This window comes from Homo sapiens, chromosome 1 (assembly GCF_000001405.40).
Source record: "Homo sapiens chromosome 1, GRCh38.p14 Primary Assembly".
Taxonomy (NCBI): domain Eukaryota; kingdom Metazoa; phylum Chordata; class Mammalia; order Primates; family Hominidae; genus Homo; species Homo sapiens.
This window is the reverse complement of record NC_000001.11, coordinates 230798541-230819831: the sequence shown is the minus strand read 5'-3', so window position 1 is coordinate 230819831 and position 21291 is coordinate 230798541. Positions and strand designations below refer to the sequence as shown.

Genomic DNA, 21291 nt, shown 5'->3' with positions numbered 1-21291 from the left:
TCTTAGCTATCGGCCCTCTCCATCTCCTCTCTGTAGCCTTGAATCAAACTCCTTTTCTGAAGACCTAGAAGGTAACTGCACTTCTGGAAGCCTTTGGAGCCCAAGAAGAGGGAGGGTTTGGGTTGAGGGGATGTGTTTTTGTTTTAGAAGTAGTGGTGGGAAAAGCATGGACTTCAGATTCAAACAGGCCAGAGTTCAAATCTCTCTCTAGCCCATGCCAACAAAACTCTGGGCTGCGTGATACATCTCATAACGTCTCTGACATCTCCTTTATTTTACTATTATTATTATCATTTTTTTGGAGTTGCATGTTACTTTTTTATTACTATTTTTAAAAATTCTTCATTTTTCTATGTCCTAATGCCAGGCTTCTGTAAGGCTCTATACCTTTAGGTGTTCTCTTTTCACACTTGCTTTCTTATGAAAGCTTGGCTTTTAAATGACTTACCTGAATTGGCACCTTTTAAATTCAAATCACCACCTCCAAAATCTCACGAAGAATCCACTCCCACACTCTAATTTTCTGTCAGGATGTTTTTATGTTGATATTCCACAACGATCTCAAATCTCAAACTGAAATATACTCCTGGTCACAATGACCGATTTTGTTTTTGGTTTTGAGACAAGGTCTCACAATGTTGCCCAGGCTGGTCTTCAGCTCCTGGACTCACATGATCCTCCCAGCCTCCGGAGTAGCTGGGGTTACAGGCTTGTGCCACCACACCTGCCTCCAGTTTACTCACTTGTGTTAGTGGGACCGTTTTCTCTCTCTGTCCCATGGTCACATCAGCCATCTTTGCTTCATCCTTCCTTTTCATGGCTCCTACCATTCTTTCTCTTCTATCGGGCTTTAGGCTGGCCCACCACTGTTCCTCCAGAAGGTTGTATGGACATGAGTAAGTATTCCTCTCTCTGCGCCTGTTCTACCTTCTTTCAAAGACAACATTAGAATTCCTGAATTTATAAAGTGAGGAAATGAAGCACTGATTGGTTTTCATTTGTCTGGGCCACATGTTCCCGGGCACAATTAAGGGCAGTGTCTAGATACTTCAGACACGAGAAGAGGGTGAGAGAGGCAGTTTGAGAAACAAAATTCTCTGTGCTTCTCTTTCATCCTCTCTGAGAACCAAAAGTAGTATCAACCCCACACCCCTGGTGAATGCATGTGAGAAGCCTTGGCCTCTGACCTCTTCACATCCTCAGATGCAAAGGCATGAACAAGGATGGTGGGATTTCTTCCATGCCTGGCTGAGTTCTTTCCAAGAAGATGATCTCATTTGTCTTGGTGAAAGGCTTATTTTTAAAATGCACATTCCATTTTCCATTATTTAATAGGCACATAATGTCTTGCAGCTTCCTTCGAAGTGATTTCATGCATGGTGATTCCATGTGTTTCTCCAGTTCCTATATGCTCCTCAATGAATCTCTATATATTTCTTTCCACACTATGGTAATAAAAACACATTGGGCAGTGTGTGGCTGTGGTTTCATTTCAGAAAAACTTTAGTCTAGAACATCAATGCCCTGTGACTTAGGAGCAGGGGCTGAGAGGGAGACTGTATGGCAGATGATCCTGTACTGCCTCTTCCAAAAATAGTTAGACAGGGGAGACTCTGGGGTGTAAGCGTGTGTAGGGTGGGAGGGGCAGGAATAGAAAATAATGTTAAATAAACAAAAATCATGACATTTATTAAAGATGGCGAAGGAGGCCAGGCGCGGTGGTTCATGCCTGTAATCCCAGCACTTTGGGAGGCCGAGGCGGGCAGATCGCAAGGTGAAGAGATGGAGACCATCCTGCCCAACATGGTGAAACCCCGTCTTTCCTAAAAATACAAAAATTAGCTGGACATGGTGGCACGAACCTGTAATCCCAGCTACTTGGGAGGCTGAGGCAGGGGAATCACTTGAACCTGGGAGGAGGAGGTTGCAGTGAGCCGAGATTACGCCACTGCACTCCAGCTGGCGACAGAGCGAGACTCCATCTCAAAAAAAAAAAAAAAAAAAAAAAAAGAAAAAGAAAAAGAAAAAAAAGATGGTAAGGGAGACTTTATTCAGGATCATCGACATAGGTGTAAGGATCACAGCAGTGGTGTTCTGCAGCTGGGGAGAGAGACTGGGCTCAACTCTGAATACAACAAGGAAAAGTGAGAATTTATAGCCAAGGAGTAGAGTGGAGGGAGAGGTCACTGGATGGAAAATTAGTAAGAGGAAGCATTAGGGCTGAGGGGGATTCTGGCTAAACCAACCCAACAGGATTCTTGCTGAAGGCAGGCCAGGGTGATCAGACATCACCTGGCAAATGGTGGAAGACGAGGAACCTGATCAGATATCGATGGCGATCAGATATTGAGTGTGGACAATCTAGTTAAACTGACTTAGCAGGGTTCTTGCTAAAACTGGACAATGCAGACATGAACATGGAAGTCCGAAAGTTGTGTCCATTTAAAAATTTATGTTTGCAAGAGCTTCCAGAACCATGTTGTAAAAATCATAGACAAACATGAAACCGGGAAGCTTTCAAAACCCAGGATTCAGAGAACACTGACAACTCTTTGCAGGAGGTTGCAAATTCAACCTCAGAGATGTCTGGAAAAATATTCTACTCAAGCTTGGTCTTGATTTCCAAAGATCTACAAATCTAGTGAAGTTCTTGCTGAAGTGAAAATAGCCACCAGCCAACTGAAGCTAGAGGTTGAAGCAAAGGAAGTTTGAAGGCTGATGGCTCCTCAGTCTCAGAAACCACCCTGTGATGAGCACACCCACCAGTGATGAACACGCCCACCTTCATGAACAAAGGGAGGCGTGAGCTCTCTGGACAGTCCTGATCAAGGGGCCATGATAAGAAGTCAAAGGCATGAGAAAACAGTGATAGTGATTTTTAAGGAAATGGATTTCAATTTAAAAGTAATCAGAACAAAGTTACAGTTTTAGTTGTACAGAAAAATTGAACAGCAAGCAGAGACGGGTCTCATATATCCCATTTTCCCCCTCTCTTCCTCCACAGTTTCTCCTATCACTAACACACACACACTCATGCAAGCGCGCGCACACACACACACACACACACACACACATATTAACACTGATGTGGTATATTTATTGCAATTGATGAACCAATATTGACACATTACTATCAACTGAAATCCATCATTTACATTTGAGTTCACTCTTTGTGTTGTACAGTTCCAAAAGAACCTTCTGATTTTTGTGGAAAAATGCAGAAGTTAATTTAGAGAAAAAAAACTTTATAGTTAGAAAAAATGGCTAAGGTGATTGACTACTCATTAATCTGAATTACATATTCTTTAGAAAGATTTATTCTGTGCAGCGTGTAAGTATAAAATTTGCATTACCTCTGGTCTTTCCTATAAGAGTTGTATCAAGAATTTCATCATTACAATTAATTGCATGCATATATACTTTTCTATGGGAAATAACTTTTTACTAAAAACACATTACATGTTACCTCTAGACAACCTATAGTCATGGCACAAATTGCATCTTTGCTTTCTCAGATTCCAAAAGTCTTTGTGTAACCACTGTCCTCAGCAATTGTCACCATTACTTGGCCCAGTGCCATTGTGCAAGGGAAGGAAGGTTTTGTCTTGGCTCAGTGGTAGAAGGACTAACACACTCTCTTCCCACATGGAGACATACTAGAGAGGATATTCTGGCCTCCCTGCAGCCTCAAGTTCTCTCTTCCCTGGGTGAATAGCTACTCCACAGATCTGTATCTACATGGAGAGGTCATGCATGTGTTCTATGCACTTTCAGCACCACCTAGGTACAGAGTTTGTCAGTCTTAGGTGCTAACCTCTCAGCTCCACACTCACCCACATATACTCTGCACTGTAGCACTGAGGCTGGTTCTATGCAAAACCCATTTCTGTTTTATAGCTGCTCTTTGTGAGGCCATGACAGTAAGAGGCTTAAAAGGAGACTGAGAGGCTTGAGGAGGAAGAGGAGACTTGCTCCTTCTTGTCTGCCTTCTGTCCACTTACTGTTGCTATGAGCATCACCCTGAATTCTCCACCCCAGCAGCAGTAGAAACTTCCTATAGCTGCAGCAAAAGCCAGTTTGCAGTTTTTCTAACCCTTGTAGAGCCAGCCTAAAGGCACTCTCTTCAGAGCTGCCACATTGCCCTCAGGACTAACCCATTCTCCACAATCCAGATTTAAGCAGCACTTCGGAGGAGTTTGCCCAGTAATGTATACATCTGATTCTTTGTTCAGCATCTGGCTATTGCTATTTGTGCATTGACTCCACTGGTCAGAACCAAAGACAGCAGGAGAGGTAAGTGCAGCCAAATTCATCTAGCCTCACAGTGACCTTCCTATAATCCATACTGCCAAGTGAGGTATCTGCAAACTACAGATACTTTGCCAACTGGCTTACTGTTAGGTACCGTGAATAGGAGAGAGGGCCTGGGAGAAAATCAGAACACAGAAAGAAGAGAGAATCTTCTATTTCTGGTTTGACAGTGGGGTAGTTTCTGGCAGTTGTAACACCAGCAAGAACAGGGTAACACCTGAGCAAAAGTAAGATTGATCTAGACTCTTGGATCCTGGACAAAGGTAGTATCTTTTTGACAATTTCCAATCTCTGTGGCACCTTCAACCATGCAGCAGTACAAACTCAGGAGCACCACTCTCTTTTGTGTATGGAACAGACATGAATATTACAGGGGGGAGGGAGCCTGAGGGTGAACTGTGTAAGGCCTACTAATGGCCCCCTAAATTATTCATGCCCTAATCCCACTGTGAGTGCATTATGTTATCTGGAAAAAAGGGATTTTGATATGTAATTAAGGTTATAGACCTTAAAATAGGCAGATTTTCTGAATTTCTGAATTTTCCGGGTGAGTCCAGTTGTGGGGAAAATGAAAACTACTAAAATGCTGCTGTGGTCCCACCTAACAAAACTTAAAAGCAAGGCTCAAAAGGATCAAACTAATTTCAAATAACTGTGTCCCTGAACAAAGCTTGATGATATTTATAGGAATACAAAATATCCAGCAACCATTGTCTGGCATTCAATCACAAATCACCAGTCATGCAAACAAGCAGGAAAACACAACCCATAATGAAGGGGAAAATCAGTCAGTTGAAACTGACCCAGAACTGACACAGACAATATATTTAGTAGACAAAGACATGAAAATGGTTATTACAACTGTATTCCATGTGTTCAAGAAGCTAGAAAAAAGATTGAACGTGTTAAGTTAAGAAATGGAAGAGATAGGCTTGTGTGGTGGCTCATGCCTATAATCCCTCCCTTTGGGAGGCCGAGGCAGGTGGATCACCTGAGGTCAGGAGATTGAGACCAGCCTGGCCAACATGTTGAAACCTTGTCTCTACTAAAAATACAAAAATTAGCTAAGCGTGGTGCATGCCTGTAATCTCAGCTACTTGGGAGGCTGAGGCAGGAGAATTGCTTGAACCTGGGAGGCAGAGGTTGCAGTGAGCTGACTGCACTCCAGCCTGGGCAATAGAGAGAGACTCCATCTCAAAAAAAAAAAAAAAAAAAAAAAAAAAAAAAAAAAAGAAAAAGAAAAAGAAAAAGAAAAAGAAGAAGAAAAAAGTAATGGAAGAGATTGAAAGACCCAAATTGAACTTCTAGAGATGAAAACCACAAGGGCTTAGATAAAAGATACAGAAAATGTGATTAATGGAGGAGTAGACATTAGAGATAAAATTTAGTAAATCTGAAGACAAACTAGCCTATCAAACACAGAAGGAAAAAAGACTGAAAAATAAATGAAGAGAGCATGTTAGCTATGGAATAACTTCAAGTGGCCTAATATACATGTAATTAAATTGCCCAAAGCAGAAAGCAGAAGCAGGGGAACAAAAATATTTGAATGAATAATGACAGAGCATTTTCCAAATTTAATGAAAACATGAAAACTATAAACTCACAAATCCAAGAAACTCAGTGGACACCAAGCACAAGAAACACAAAGTACAAAGGCACATTATAATCACATTGCTAACTACCAGGAATAAAGTAAAACTCTTAAAAGAAGCCAGAAAAAAAGACCCATTATATACAAAGGAACAAAAATAAGGATGGCAATGGATTTCTCATAAAAAATATTGTAAGTTAAAAGAGAGTGGAGCAATGTCTTTAAAATATTGCGAGAAAAAAGAACAGTCAATCTAGAAACGTATACTCTATATCAAAGATACTATAACAAAGAAAAATAATCTCAAAAAAATTGGAAAATACACTGAGGTAAATGAAAACAAAAACACAACATAATAAAACTGATGAGATGCAGTGAAAGCAGCACTATAAGGGAAATTTAGAGCTATAAATGCATACATTAAAAAATAAGAACGATTTCAAATCAATAACTGAACTATACACCTCAGGGAACCAAAAAAGGGAAAAACAAAATCCAAAGATAGCAGAAGGAATAAAATAATAAATATTAGGACATTAATAAACAAAACAGAGATATAAAAACAATACAGAAAAACAACAAAGCCAAAAGGCAGTTTTTTGAAAACATCAATGAAATTGACAAGCCTTTAGCTAGACTGACCAAGGGAAAAAAGAGAGAAGATTCAATTTACTAAAATCAGAAATGAAAGGGGGGATTATAGTCAATTTTATGTCACCTATACAAAATAAATGAGTGCCTAGAAACACACAATCTACCAAAACTAACTCTTGAGGAAGTAGAAAATCTGAACAGACCTCTACTCAACGAGGAGAGTGACTCAATAACGAAACAAATAAAAAATCCAGTACCAGATGTCATCTCTTGTGAGTTCTACCAAACATTTGAGTAAGACTTAGCATCAATCACTCTCAAACTCCTCAAAAAATTGAAGAGAGAACACTTCCTAACTCATGAGGCAAGCATTAACTTTGTAACAAAGCCAGATAAAGATACTAAAAGAAAACTATGCTCCCATATCTCTGATGAATATTGATGTAAAAATCTTCAGCACAATACTAGAAAACTGAATTTAGCAGCATAACAAAAGGATTATATATCATGATCAAGTGAGGTCTACTCCTGGAATGCAAGGATAGTTCAACATACGAAAACCAATCAATGTAACACACCATATAAATAGAACGAAGATACAACCTACATTATAATAGCAATTGATGCAGAAAAACCATTTGAAAAAATTCAATACTATTTCATAGTAAAAACACCCACCAAACTAAACATAGAAGAAGCTACCTCAACATGATAAAGGCCATATATAAAAAAACTCAAGGCTAACTTCATATTCCATGTCAAAGGCTGAAACTTTTCTCCTAATATCAGAAATAAGATAAGAACACCTGTTATCACCACTTCTATTTAACACAGTGCTGGGAAGTCCTAGTCAGAGGACTTAGGCAAGAAAAATAAATAAAAGGCATCCAAATGGGCAGGAAGAAGTAAAACTATCTCTGTTTGCAGATGGCATGATCTTATATGCAGGAAACCAGAATGATTCCACAAAAATCTGTCAAAAAATGAATTCAGCAAACTTGCAGGGTATAAAATCAACACATGAATATCAATTGCATTTCTACACACTAGTAATGAACAATTCAAAAAGAAAATTTAAAAAATTTAATTTACAAGCACATAAAAAACCCTTAGAAATAAATTTAACCAAAAAGGCAAAGACTTGTACACCAAAAACTATAAAACATTGCTGAATGAAATTAAAGAAGGCATAACTGGAAAGACATCCTATGTTAATGATTGAAAGACATTAAGATATCAATATTTCCCAAAGTGATCTACAGATTCAATGCAATCCTATTAAAATCTAGGTGCTGTTTTTTTGCAGAGCTAGAAAAGCTTACCCTAAAGTTTATATGAAATCTCCAAGAATTCCATATAAAACAATAAAGTCAAAACAACCCTGAAAATGAAGAACAAAGTTGGAGGACTCATACTTCCTGATTTCAAAACTTACTATAAAGTTACAGTAATCAAAACAGTGTAGAACTGGCATGAAGACTGAACTATAGACCAGCGGAATGGAATAAAGAGCCCAGAAAAAAAAAAAAACCTCACGTATATCGTCATTTGATTTTGATGACTACCAAAACCATTCACTGGGGGAAAAGACAGTCTTTTCAACAAATAGTACTGGGATAATTGGATTATTCACATGCAAAAGAATGAAATTGGATCCTTACTGAACACCGTATACAAAAATGAACTCAAAATGGATCAAAGGCCTAAATTTAATGACTAAAACTATAAAACTCCTAGACAAAAACATAGGAGAAAATCTTCATGACACTGGTTTTAGCAATGGTTTTTTGGTTATAACTCCAAAACCATAGGCAATAAAAGAAAAAAATAGATGAACTTCATCAAAATTAAAAAATTTGTGCAACAAAAGAAACTATTAAGAGAATAAAAAGACAATCCATGGAATGAGAATAGAGTTGTAAATCATATATCTGCTAAAGGATCACTATTCAGAATATAGGAACTACAATTCAACAATAAAAAACAAGCCAATTCCAAAATGGGCAAAAGACTTGAGTAGACATTTCTCTAAAGAAAACATACAAATGCACAATAAGTGCATGAAAAGTGCTTAACATTATTTGTCATTAGGGAAATATAAATCTAAACCACAACAAGATGCCACTTCACACCCATTAGGATAGCTGTTATTGTTAAAAAATAACAAGTGTTGGTGAGGGTATGAAGAAATTGGAGCCCTGTGCATTGCCAGTAGGAATGTAAAATGGCACAGCTAAAGTGGAAAAAAGTTTGGTGATTCCTCGAAAAGTTAAAAAATTATAATATGATCCAACAGTTCCTCTGCTGGGTATGTACCCGAAAGAAAACAGGACCTTCAACAGCTATTTGTACACCAATGTTTATAGCAACATTATTCACAATAGCCAAAGGGTGGAAATAACCTAAATTCCATAAACAGATGAATGGATAAACAAAACGTGGGATATCTGTACAGTGGAATATTATTTCGCCTGAAAAAGGAAGAAAATATTGATACATGCCACAACACGATGAAACTTGAAAACATTATTCTAAGTGAAATAAGCTAGATACAAAAGGATGAATATTGTATGAGTCCACTTATTTCAGATACCTGGAATAGACAAATTCATAGAGATAGAAAGTGGAATAGAGGTTGCCAGAGGCTGGATGGAGGAGGGACTGGGAAGTTATTGTTTAATGATTACATAGTTTCTGTTGGCTTGTTGAAAACATACTGAAAATGGATGATGGTGATGGTTGTGCAACATGGAGAATGTACTTAATACCACCAAACTGTACATCTATAAATGGTTTAAATGGTATATTTTGTTGTACATATTTTATCACGATAAGATTTACAAAATGATTGTTGAAACTGATGATGATATTTGGGAAGATTTTAAAGTGTTTTCCTTATATTTTTATGACTTAAACTCGTTATAATAAATATATCACAAAACACCCCACTGTTTATAAAGCAGTTTAGAAATAGCAGGGCTGATAATTGGTGGATAGAGTTCAATGAGGACTTCATGGGTTATTATTGTGCACATTCCCATGATATGCCATCCAAAGTAATATATAGCTCTGTGATTTCAGCTAAGGAAAGTTCTGTTTCTGCAAATACAGTGACCAATTCCTAGCAAAAAAAAAAAAAATCAGCTTTGTAAATAACTGATTTGTTTTATATTTCTAGCAAATGAAATAATAGATCATGGTAAACATCATATAGGGTTTATGTGGGAATCTCAACCCCACATTCTCTAACATTTCCAGAGACTTTACACCAACTGAGTGCAGCTTGGGTTGGTGATGTTTTTAAAGTTGTAATAATTGTGTACAGCAGGCACGTTCTATGAATTGCACTGATTCTTTTGCTTAGCAAAAGGGTGTGCACCTGTTTTCTCTCACAGGTTTTAACCACAATGTTCATGGCCCCTATGAGGGCCACCCTGTGTGCTTGCAATTTCTATCTGGAAGGCATAATGCCACCTACAGAGCCAAACACCCTGGATGCTTTTGGAGCAGTGACCGAGCCAGTTTTATCTGCCAGCAAATGGCTGTTGAGTAAGCAACCCTTCACAGAGCCACAAAACACAAGCCTATTCTGACCATTCAAAGGGACTAAAGGGGACAGGAATATATTCTGAATCCAAGATTTGCTTTCATCCACACTTTTGTTCCACAAACATTAATCAACACCTCCTGTGGGTCAGAAGCTGTGCTGGGCACCTAGGATACATGACAATGAATGTGGCTTGACCTCGCCCCTGCTGTTGAGCTGCTCCTCGTCCCTGGGGGAGACCTGCAGTGGGCGAGCATTGAGAGGCCAAACAAGGCTAAGGGCCTCGGTTCCAAATGGGAGACCTGTCAGTCCCAGTCCAGGGCTGCATCCTGAAGGGCTTGTCTAACCACGCTAGAGGTAACCAGGGCTTTGCTGGCTTTCTTGGCATTTTTCTGGGAGCAATGGGGAGGCAGGAACTATTGTAAGCAACAGAGTTACTCAGCAGGCTTCCTGCGCTGGCAGAGTGGGTATCCAGTATCCGCAGAGTGCAGAAGCAGAGGCCCCTGGGGAAGACCTGGTGGAGCTGAGAGTGAGAGCAGACCCATCTCTCCTCTACCATGCGTTGTCAAGAAGCCCAAGGAGGCCAGGGTGAAGACACAGACATGGGAGGAAGTGACATAGAGATGGAGACATAAAGTCTCCATGCTTCCTCCCATGCCTGTGACTGCAAGGAGACGTCCGGGTGGGTGACTCTCTTTTTAGAATGTAGAAGGTAGACTGGGAAGGACAAGAGAGAACGCTAAACCCATATGGACAAGCCAGGTTCTGGTATGTGTGTATAATGGAGGAGTTGAGTGTGTTGAGATGTTGAAAGGCAGGAGGAGTACAGCTTTATACTCCTTTATACATGCTTTATACTCCTTTATACATGCTTTATACTGCAAGCTGATTCACAAGGAGACTAGAACAGCAAATGTGAACCAGGAGCAGTGTATAGAGTGAGATGAGAAGAACACCAATAATTAGGTGTAAACCCAGGGAGAAAGCATGATGAGACTATGAAAGAGCAGCCAGGGAGGCAGGGGAATGCCAGGGCAGGGTCAGGCCTAGAGCAGGAATCAGTCTTATGGGGGAAGGCATGGTCCATGGCATCTCACATTGCAGACACTCCACACAGGATGCCCTCTGATGCTGTCCCCTGAATTGGGCCATTTTCAGGGGGCTGTTGAAACTGTGCCCCAAATAGTTAAAGAAACCAATGACTAACAGAAACTTGAGTTCGCAGCATTGCAGGTAAAAAAATAACTTGCTGAAACACTGAAACTCCCTCTGCCTATGAGATTTTTTAAAAACTGGCTGAAATCAGTTGTAACCAACACGGCCAATTGGAGTCTGTGCAGGACGAGCTTGCTGATGACACAGCCTGAATTTCCACCACATGTTTCATATTAATTCTCCTGAAATTTGCATAGGGGACCCATGAGGAGGCATGGAGAGATAAAAACGCATGCCCAAGGACTTTCTAGACCTCCTCTTTCCTCCACCAATCACCTACTGATCTCAGAATACAGCCTCTGAATCTTTTCTAATAAAAATACTGCTTTGGAGCCAGCACAAGAAGACAGATTTGAGCTCGATGTTCTAGTCTCCTTGTGAAGCAGCTTGCAGTATAAAGCTTTTCTTTTCTCAGAAACACAGTGTCATAGCATTGGCTTCTAGCACATTGGGCAGTGAGCCCCTTTTGTTTGAAAACACACTGTTCACTGTTCCAACTAAGGAAGCTGTTCTGGTGCATTGAAAAGTGACTGCAAGGAGATCGTCTGGGTGGGAGACTCTCTTTTTAGAATGTAGAGGGTAGACTGGGAAGGACAAGAGAGAATGCTAAACCCATACAGACAAGCTGGGTTCAGGTAAGTGTGTATAATGGAGGAGCTGAGTGTGTTAAGATGTTGAAAGGCAGGAGGAGTACAGCTTTCCAAGAAGCCTGGTCCTGATGTGGCCTACAGAGAGTCTTCTGCGTGACCACATTCTTCTCAGAACTCTGAGCTCTGTCAGGGAGTAAGATGAATTCTCAGGCTTGCTGGGCCCACCTCTGCTACCTTCTCTCCATCCATCCAATTAGACCAGGACTGAGCCACACTGACCTGGCCTTCTAGTTCCCAGAGTGAGAGAAGGAATCACATAATTTCAAGGTGCAAGGCAGCCCAGAGAGGTAAAGTGATATGGTTAAGTCCACACAGCTAGCTGGAGGTAAGTTCTAGACTAGAATACAGGACTCAAACTCTAAGTTCAATGCTGCTTCTATTACATGAGCCTGCAGTTGCTCCATATGGTTCAGCTGTTCCCTTTCCTTGGAGAGTCCTACTGATAATGAACCAATAAACCTCCTTGGGAATATCACTGAGCTACGTTCTTCCATCAGAGGCACTGTTCAGGCACCAAGGAGAGTCTAACCCTCTGCTTCTCCTTCTCCCACTTCAGAAAGGCACTGTGGGGCTGGGAAAATGCCCCAGGCTGGCATCAGTAGCAAGCACAGCCTACTCTTGATTCACAGCTGTGGTGACGAGGCAGCCTTCGCACTGGTACTTGGCAGGCGGTCTTGGCTCTCAGTAGAATGGTGCTTTGTTTCTACTAATGATCCAGTACACTGAATTGGGCTGGCACCAATGACCCTGGTACCTCTGCCAACCAGGTCACATGCTCTGGGCTTTCTGAAGCCCTGGCCCCTCAGCGCACTGCGTAGCTCTGCACAGGACAGGGTGGAGAGGAGCCTGGAGGTAGGCCCTGTATTTCAGATAAACATGACTGTGGCCTGAGGCTCTCTCCAGGCACTGTCCAAAGGATTTGGTCTCAGGACCAAAATATTATAGGTTGATATGGTATGATATGTTTCATGTTGTAGGTTGATATGGTTTGGCTCTGTGTCCCCACCCAAATCTCACTTTGAATTTAATCCTTATACTCCTCATATGTCAAGGGCAGGACCAAGTGGAGGTTAATTGAATCTTGGGGGCAGTCTCCCCCATGCTGTTGTCATGAAAATGAGTGAGTCTCATGAGATCTGATGGTTTTATAAGTGTCTTGTATTTCCCCTGCTGGCACTTCTCCTTCCTGCCGCTTTGTGAAGAGGGTATCTTGCTTCCCCTTCACCTTCCGCCATGATTATATGTTTCCTGAGGCCTCCCCAGCCATACTGAACTGTAAGTCAACTAAATCTCTTTCCTTTATCAATTACCCAGTCTCAGGCATGTCTTTATTAGACTGTGACAGTGGACTAATGCATAGGTCTATTCAGATTTTCAGTATTCTCTGAAGGTAGTTTTGGTAATTTATCTTTTTCTAGGATTTTTTCCATTCCATCTAAGTTGTCTGATTTGTTGACATAAAGTTGTTTAAAATATTCACTTATCATTCTTTTAATTTCTGATGGGTCAGCAATGACGGCTGCTCTTAGATTCTTGATTGTTAATTTGTGTTTTCTGTCTTTTTTCTTGGTCAGTTTAGCTAAAAGTTTATCAATTTTGCAATCTTTTTTAAGAATCACCTTTTTGTTTCTTTGATGTTCTCTATTATTTTTCTCTTTGCTAGTCAATTGATTTCTGCTTTAGTCTTTATTTCTTTCCTTTTAAGGTTTAATTTGCCTCTCTCTCTAATTTCTTAAGATGGAAGCTTAAATTATTGTTTTGAGAACACTCTACTTTTCTAGGTCCTGCTTTAGCTTAATCCGGTTAATGTGGATGTGTATAGACATGTGTAAATACATAGTTTATTTTTGTTTCATTCAGTTCAAAATCTTTCTAATTTCCATTGTAATTTTTCTCTTCAACTCATAGTTATTTAGAAATGTGTTAATTTCTAAAATTTGAGGATTTCCCAAACTTATTTTTGTTTCTAATTTAATTCCTTTGTGGCTGGAGAACATACTCTGAGTGATTTAAATTCTTTTAAATATATTAAAAATTAGTTTTATGGTCTAGTATATGGTCTAACCTGGAGAAAGTTCCATGTGCTTTTGAAAAAATGTGTATTCATTACTTGAGGGTAAAGTATTCTATAAATGTCAGTTAGTCAAGTTGGTTGATAGTGTTGTTCATGTCTTCTATTTCCTTGTTAATTTTCTGAATAGTTGTCCTATCAGTTATTAAAAATGGGTTATTGAACTCTCTAACTATAATTGTTAAGTCTGAATAATCTGTTTCTTCTTTCAATTATATCAATTTTTGCTTCATAATTTTGAGACTCTACTATTAGGTACCATCACACTTGTAATTATTATATATTCCTAATGTATTGACCCTTTATGATACTGTAATATCATTTCTTCTCTCTAATAATATTTCTTGTCTTAAATTTTATTTTCTCAGATATTGATGTAGGCACTCAAGCTCTCTTATTGCCAGTATTTGCATGGTACTCTCTTTTTCATCCTTTTACTTCCAACTTTTGTCTTTTTGTATGAAGTATCTCTTGTAGATAGTGTACAATTGAATCTTGCTTTTTTATCCATTTTGACAATCACTGCCTTTTGATTGTAGTTTTTATTCATATTTAATATTATTATCAGCATGGCTGGATTAAGGTATGCCATTTTGTTTCTATGTCTTATTTTTAAAATCTGTTCTTCCCTTACGGCTTTTGTGCTAAACATTTTTTTTAAGTATTCTGCTTTGATTCCTCTGCTATCTTACTGTATTTTTGAGTTATTTTCTTAGTGGTTGCTCTGTAGATTACAATCTGCATCTTAATTTATAACCATCTAATATCTAATATCATTACCTGAGGTAATACTGACTTAATTCTAAGAAAATATAGAAATATTGCTACAATACTTTGTTTCTTCCTCTCTCCTTTATAATATATCTCTCTATTGTTATAAATCCAACAACATAGTACAATAATTAATGCTTTATATAATCTAATGTCTTCAAACAAAATTAGAATGGAAGATAACACGTTTATATAGTCTTTTACATTTACCCACAGATATCCTTTTGAGTGCTCTTCATTTCTTTCTACAGATCCACAGTCTCATCTAGTTTTATTTCCTTTCACCCTGAAATACATCCTTTAATATTTTTCCAGTGGCAGGTCAGCTAATAATGAATTCTCTCAGTCTTTGTTTAACTGGGAATATCTTTATTGTGCTTTCATTTTTGCAGTTCTAGTGGAAAAACAGAATTCTTGATTGAAAGATTTTTCCTTTGGCACTTGGAATGTCATTCTACTGCCTTCTGTCGTCTGTCATTTCTGATGAGAAGTCAGTTGCTAATTGCATTGTTCCCTGTTCATGATGAGTCATTTTTCTCAAGCTGCTTTTCAGATTTTCTCTTTTTTTCCCAACAGTTTGACTTTGATGTGTCTAGGTGTGTATCTCTTTGTATTTCATGTGATTTTGGTGTGAAGCAGTAGCGTTAGATAGCTTGTGTATACTATTGTTTAATTAATTTATTTTTATTTTTATTTTTGAGAAAGTCTCGTTCTGTCACCCAGGCTGGAGTGCAGTGGCACGATCTCGGCTCACTGCAACCTCCGCCTCCTGGGTTCAAGCAATTATCCTGCTTCAGCCTCCCTAGTAGCTGTGATTACAGGCATGCACCACCACACCCAGTTATTTTGTTTTCTCTCTCTCTTTTTTTTTTTGTATTTTTTATTTTTTTGAGATGGAGTCTTGCTCTGTCCCTCAGGCTGGAGAGCAGTGGCACGATCTTGGCTCACTGCAACCTCCACCTCCTGGGTTCAAGCGATTCTTCTGCCTCAGCCTCCTGAGTAGCTGGGACTACAGGCACGCACCACTACACCCAGCTGATTTTTGTATTTTTAGCAGAGATGGGGTTTCACCACATTGACCAGGCTGGTCACGAACTCCTGACCTCGTGATCTGCTCGCCTTGACCTCTGAAAGTGCTGGGATTACAGGCGTGAGCCACCATGCCCAGCCACTGTTTAATTTAAAGGTAGTAGGGCACGAATATTTTGGTGCCAAGACCTAAAGCATATATTATGCAGGTGGTGATAGACATAATGTGAATGGCCATAAATCGCAATTTTCCTAGGACAGCTCCAGTTTACATCTATTGTCCTGGTGTAATAACTAATATTATTCCTTTCACACTCAAAAGCTGTTGGTTTGAATTATAAGCTACAAAATCACTTTAATTATAGTTAATCAAACTCATGCATGTGAAACATCTTCCTTTGTTTCTGGGTGTCAGTATCAGACCATGTAATTCAGAAACAAATAGAAGCTAAATTCATACACTTTTTTTTGTTCTCAACTCATGATCATATAATAGTCTGTAGAGCTCTATTGAACTCTCCTTCAAGACTGGTTCTATAATTCTTGGATTCTTGCAATGAAGAACAGAGGTAAACCGAAAGCATGTGATAGTATGTAACTCTTTTAGACATTTAAGAAAACACTGGTTCACAACAGTGGGCCTTAGTTGCACTGAGGGCCTGTTATGTGTCAAGTACTGTGCCTGGCACCTTCTACTTACAATTTCATTTATTCATCATAAGATCTCAGTGAGGCAGAAATTACCATCCTTGTGAGTGGAGGAAACTAAGTCTCAGAGAGTTTAATAACTTTCCCAGGGACATATGGATGGAAAGAAAACAGGACGCCCAGTTCATAAACTTCATTTCCTGGGTACCTTTCAAGCAGAGGAAAAATCAGTGAGAGACAGTTATGTGCTCCTGGACATAAAGGCCTAAAGGCACCCTGTGGGAGTGACACTAGACAAAGAAGCTCATATGGTGAGTCCCCTTCCAAGTTTTACCTGTGAGCAGGGCTAGTGTTCACGACATCTAACAAACAATATGGCAGCAGTGTGCATCGATGAGAGTGGGCACAGGCCGAGCACAGGAGATGGCATGTCTGGGGTTGTACTGGCGTGCCCCAGCACAGAGCCTTGGTCCTAAGCCTGCTCCTGAGAGAGGGCTCTTGTCCTGCATCCACTGCTGCGTGAACCCAGGGAAGGGCTGGAAGGTAAAGGAGAAGATCATGGTACCTTGGCCACGATCAGGGACAGGGTTCTGATGAAGCTCCACTTCTTTTTTTTTTGAGACTGAGTCTCGCTCTTGTCGCCAGGCTGCAACCTCTGCCTCCTGGGTTCAAGTGATTCTCCTGCCTCGGCATCCTGAGTAGCTGGGATTACAGGCACCCGCCACCACGCCCAGCTAATTTTTGTATTTTTAGTAGAGATTGGGTTTTGCCATGTTGGCCAGGCTGGTCTTGAACTCCTGACCTCAGGTGATCCTCCCACCTTGGCCTCACAAAGTGCTGGGATTACAGGTGTAAGCCACCATGCTCAGCCTCCACTTCTAACTTGATCTTCATCCCAGCCATTCTCCCTCTTTCCCTCTCGGTATCTCCCGCTCCCATCCTCCACCTCATCTGCCACAAGTGTACCAGTAAGAATGTGGGGCTTGGCATGTATTGAGCCAGTATCTTCTCATGTTACCTCCCATTATTCTAGTTCAGTGGATACTCCTGTTCAGCACTAGTGAGCTATAATGAGGATTCTCGGGTCTGTTTTCCCCCATCATGTTGGGGATGAGTAAGATCAAACCTCACCAGAATCTGGACTCCTTGAGAAGAAATAATATCATTCAGCTTTTCTGACCCAAAGTCTTCAGACACAAAGAATGTCTGGACTGGATAGTGACTGTTTTAGTTACCACCTCTCGTAGGAGGAGGTAGAGATTGTCACCTTGATCCACTCTTATCGGAGATCCACTCTTGTCCAATTATCGGAACTACCTGATGTCTTCCCTGATAAGGAAGCACACTTATGATGCAGAAATGCTAAATTATGACCTCACTCCTTTTCCTCCTCATCTTATTCCACATACACATTTATAAAAACATGTTTTATAAAGGATGTCTGATCACAATGACTGGAGCTACATGGAAGTCAGGATTCTGTGCGTTAGAACTCTGAGTAATTCTTAATGGAAGGAAATAAGGAAAGTAGAGTGTGGGAAAGCTAGTGATGCCTGAACCTGGATGTAAGGCACAGGTGGCGCCATCAGCCCCCTTAAGGCAGTGACTTTACAAAGGAGTAGCACAAAATCAGAGAGTGTAGCTGAGTTCATTTCATTCTTCCCAGATCAAGATGAAGGGAGAAGGCCGGACGATGAGAGGGGAGTGAACCCTGGGCGTAATGGTTCCACACCAAGAGAAGTTCTGAAGGTCAAGGTCCAGAAGCCAAGATTCAGCTGGGCAGGCTGCATCTCTACAAGGCAGCCTCAGATGTTCATTGTCAAATGGATGAACTGGGAAGAGAGAGAGAGAGATGAGGGGTCGTTGTCCTTCCATGTCCCTTCCAGCCTCAGCCTCAGGAGTGGCCCCAGTTTGCTGATATCACAGGAGATCTGCTATTTGATCATTTTGCCTGCCAACTTGGATGTCTGTCTCAGCAGGAAACCATTTAAAGAAAATAAATGAATTCTCAGCACTTGACATTTTCTGGAGGACCTGAGTCCTTTCCAAGTGAGCTCATATCAAGCACAGTTGGTAAGACAGAGACGGGAAAATGTGCTTTCTCCCTGTTAAGAGGACAGCCTCGCTGAAGCATCTTGGGCAGGGCAGTATTAAGTGACTTTTCCTTGTTGATGAGGGGTCCTCTCACCTTTGGGAGAGAGGTGGCCCTCCACCCTGGAGGGGCTGCAGGAAGTGGAAGCAGGTTCCATAGCTGGGGGGTGTTACAAGTGAGCTGAAGGAGAAGTAGCATGGAATTCCTCCTCATTTTCTCTCCCGAGTCCACCCTGCCTCCTCCTTCCCAACAGCTTGTTTATTACAGCATGGTGACTTGGGGCAACGTGATTATATGAGATGGTTTTTTTCTCCCTTCTCTGTCCTCCTTCCTGGGCACAGTGTATATAGTATGAGAGCTACTGTAATGAAAGGTGCACAGGCCTTTTTAGGAAAGTGATTGCAGGTGAGGCCAACTCAGCCAGGAAAATCTCCTGTTGCTTCCTAGGATGGGTCAGGGGAAAAGGAGAGGGACTTTAAAACATGGATACTTCAGACCTGGCTGCACACTGGACTCACCAAGGGGATTAAAGAAAAACAATGCTTGGGCCTCACCTCCAGAGATTCAGATTTAATTGATCTAGGGAGTGGCTGGGGTATCAGGATTTTTAAATCTCCCCAGGTGATGCTAACATGCAGCCAGATGTAAAGATGGTAGGTTTAGAGGGAGAGAATGCAATGGTTTTCACTGTTGTACTGCAGGGTGATGATATGGGGCAGGGCAGGAGCCTATTCCAGCCCCTACACCTGTGGACACTTGCGTTAGAGGTGTCCACACTTCTACCTTGAAGCTGCAGCACTGGAATACTTCCTCCACACTGCTGGTGCTCTGGAGCCTTTGACTAGCCAGGGGGCCGCTGAGTAACAAACCTTCCCACTGTCTCCTTCCACCATGGACCAGGGGCAGCCATCACACTTCCTCATGTTTTTTAGTGACATTACTTATCATTTACCTTAAAGTAAATGATAAATAAAGGTGGACCTAGGGGTCTCTCTTGTTTTTCCTTTCTTTCTTTCTTTCTTTCTTTCTTTCTTTCTTTCTTTCTTTCTTTCTTTCTTTCTTTCTTTCTTTCTTTCTTCTTTCTTTCTTATTTTTCTTTCTTTTCTTTCTTTTCCTTCTTTCCTTCTTTCTTTTGATGGAGTCTCACTCTGTCGCCCAGGCTGGAGTGCAGTGGCACAATCTTGGCTCACTGTAAGCTCCACCTCCCGGGTTCATGCCATTCTCCTGCCTCAGCCTCCCGAGTAGCTGGGACTACAGGCGCCCGCCACCATGCCAGGCTAATTTTTTGTATTTTTAGTAGAGATGGGGTTTCACCGTGTTAGCCAGGATGGTCTCGATCTCCTGACCTCGTGATTCACCCGCCTCAGCCTCCCAGAGTGCTGGGATTACAAATTCCTTTCTTTTTTAAGAGACAGGGTCTTGCTATCACTCTCTTCCAGGCTGGAGTGCAGTGGCGAGATCATAGCTCACTGCATGCTCAAACCCCTGGCCTCAAGCAATCCTCCCGCCTAGGCCTCCCAAATAGCTGGGACTGCAGGTGCACACCACCATGCCCAGCTTCCTCTTATTTTCATAAAAGAATAATTTGTGTGTGCACATCTTTCTTTGGAATCTTGGATTGATCAAAGGAGGTATAGTTATTACATGTGTCCTACATGCTGAAGTTGAAAGACAAAACTAGAGAAGAAAAATGCCTAGTTTCTGTGGGAGTGATTATAACAAAATAGCTAATATTTTTGAGATACTATTTATGAAGTAATCAATTAAGCCATTACAATAATTCTGTGAGCTAAGTACCAATAGTATCCCCATTTGGCTCACCGTAATAATACGTAATTGGCTCAATGAAATAATAATGCGTCCAGGGATCTGAGATACACACTTGAGAAAATTAGTGGTGAGTCAACATAATTGCCAAATTATATGATATTATTATAAAGCAAAGCTTTGGGTGTAATATTAAGGCCTATGTCTCTTTCTGTAAATGGTTAAACTGAGGCACCGAGCAGCCTGCTTAATCGAAATCAGAGCACAAAAGAGGGGAGGAGGTACAATCCTCTAAAACACATACTGTCATCAACCTCTTCATCTTGAAATATTCAATTAAATGTTATCCAAACCCAAAGTTACTAATGAATTTGGAAATGAGCTGGCTGTGACTGTGAGTATGGAAATTGGTGGAGAGGAGAAACTCCAGAGACTGGGGAGGAGCCACAGGCTGCCTGGCTTCAGAGTTGTTAGGTAGAAGAGAAAGCAGACCTGGAAAGAAAGATACAGGGAGGGAAAGAAGGAAAAGGGAGATAAAAATTACAGAACCATTGAAGGAAACTGCTCCACAGTTTCCCCTCTGCCTTTGGGCAGGAGAATGTCTCAAGAGCGTTCCCAAGCTTCATGTGCACAGGAATCAGTGGGGTCCTGTGAAAGACGACTTCCATTCAGCAGGTCTGGGGCAGGGCCTGGCACTCTGCATTTCCAACGCTCTCTCCTAAGTGATGCCTATGCTGCTGCTGGCCCATGGACCTCCCTGTGAGCAGATGGGTCCACTGGGATCCTCTGGGGAGAGGGTGATTGAAACCCCCTGGAATCCTTCTCCCATACCTCTGACACTCAGACCCATGGTCTCCCACCCCCGTCATTGCTACAATGGCCCCGGTAACTGGCCAGTTTTGTACTTATTGGAGTCTGGGGGAGTGTCATGGGAACCACGGGACAACATGAGCAAGGGAGAGTGAGCAAACTGGCAGCTGGAAGGCAGGCAGGCTAAGTTAC

The 21291-nt window shown here is 41.0% G+C and overlaps 1 protein-coding gene and 1 long non-coding RNA gene across 11 annotated transcripts in view; one reads left to right on the top strand and one right to left on the bottom strand.

Annotated features, from left to right (window-relative positions):
- The first annotated feature begins 12715 nt into the window (after positions 1-12715).
- On the top strand, positions 12716-18449 carry LOC124904546 (uncharacterized). Its single transcript, XR_007066937.1, has 2 exons — positions 12716-12763; positions 18097-18449. It is a non-coding gene; the product is annotated as an uncharacterized LOC124904546 (long non-coding RNA).
- The window catches only part of CAPN9 (calpain 9), a 54602-nt gene continuing 51153 nt past the window's right edge, over positions 17843-21291 (bottom strand). For all 10 annotated transcript variants that reach the window (NM_006615.3, XM_011544017.2, NM_016452.3 and 7 more), the window contains one exon: positions 17843-18262. In NM_006615.3, coding sequence (NP_006606.1) covers positions 18236-18262 — 27 coding nt within the window. In that variant the 3' untranslated portion in view covers positions 17843-18235. The remainder of the gene's footprint in view (positions 18263-21291) is intronic.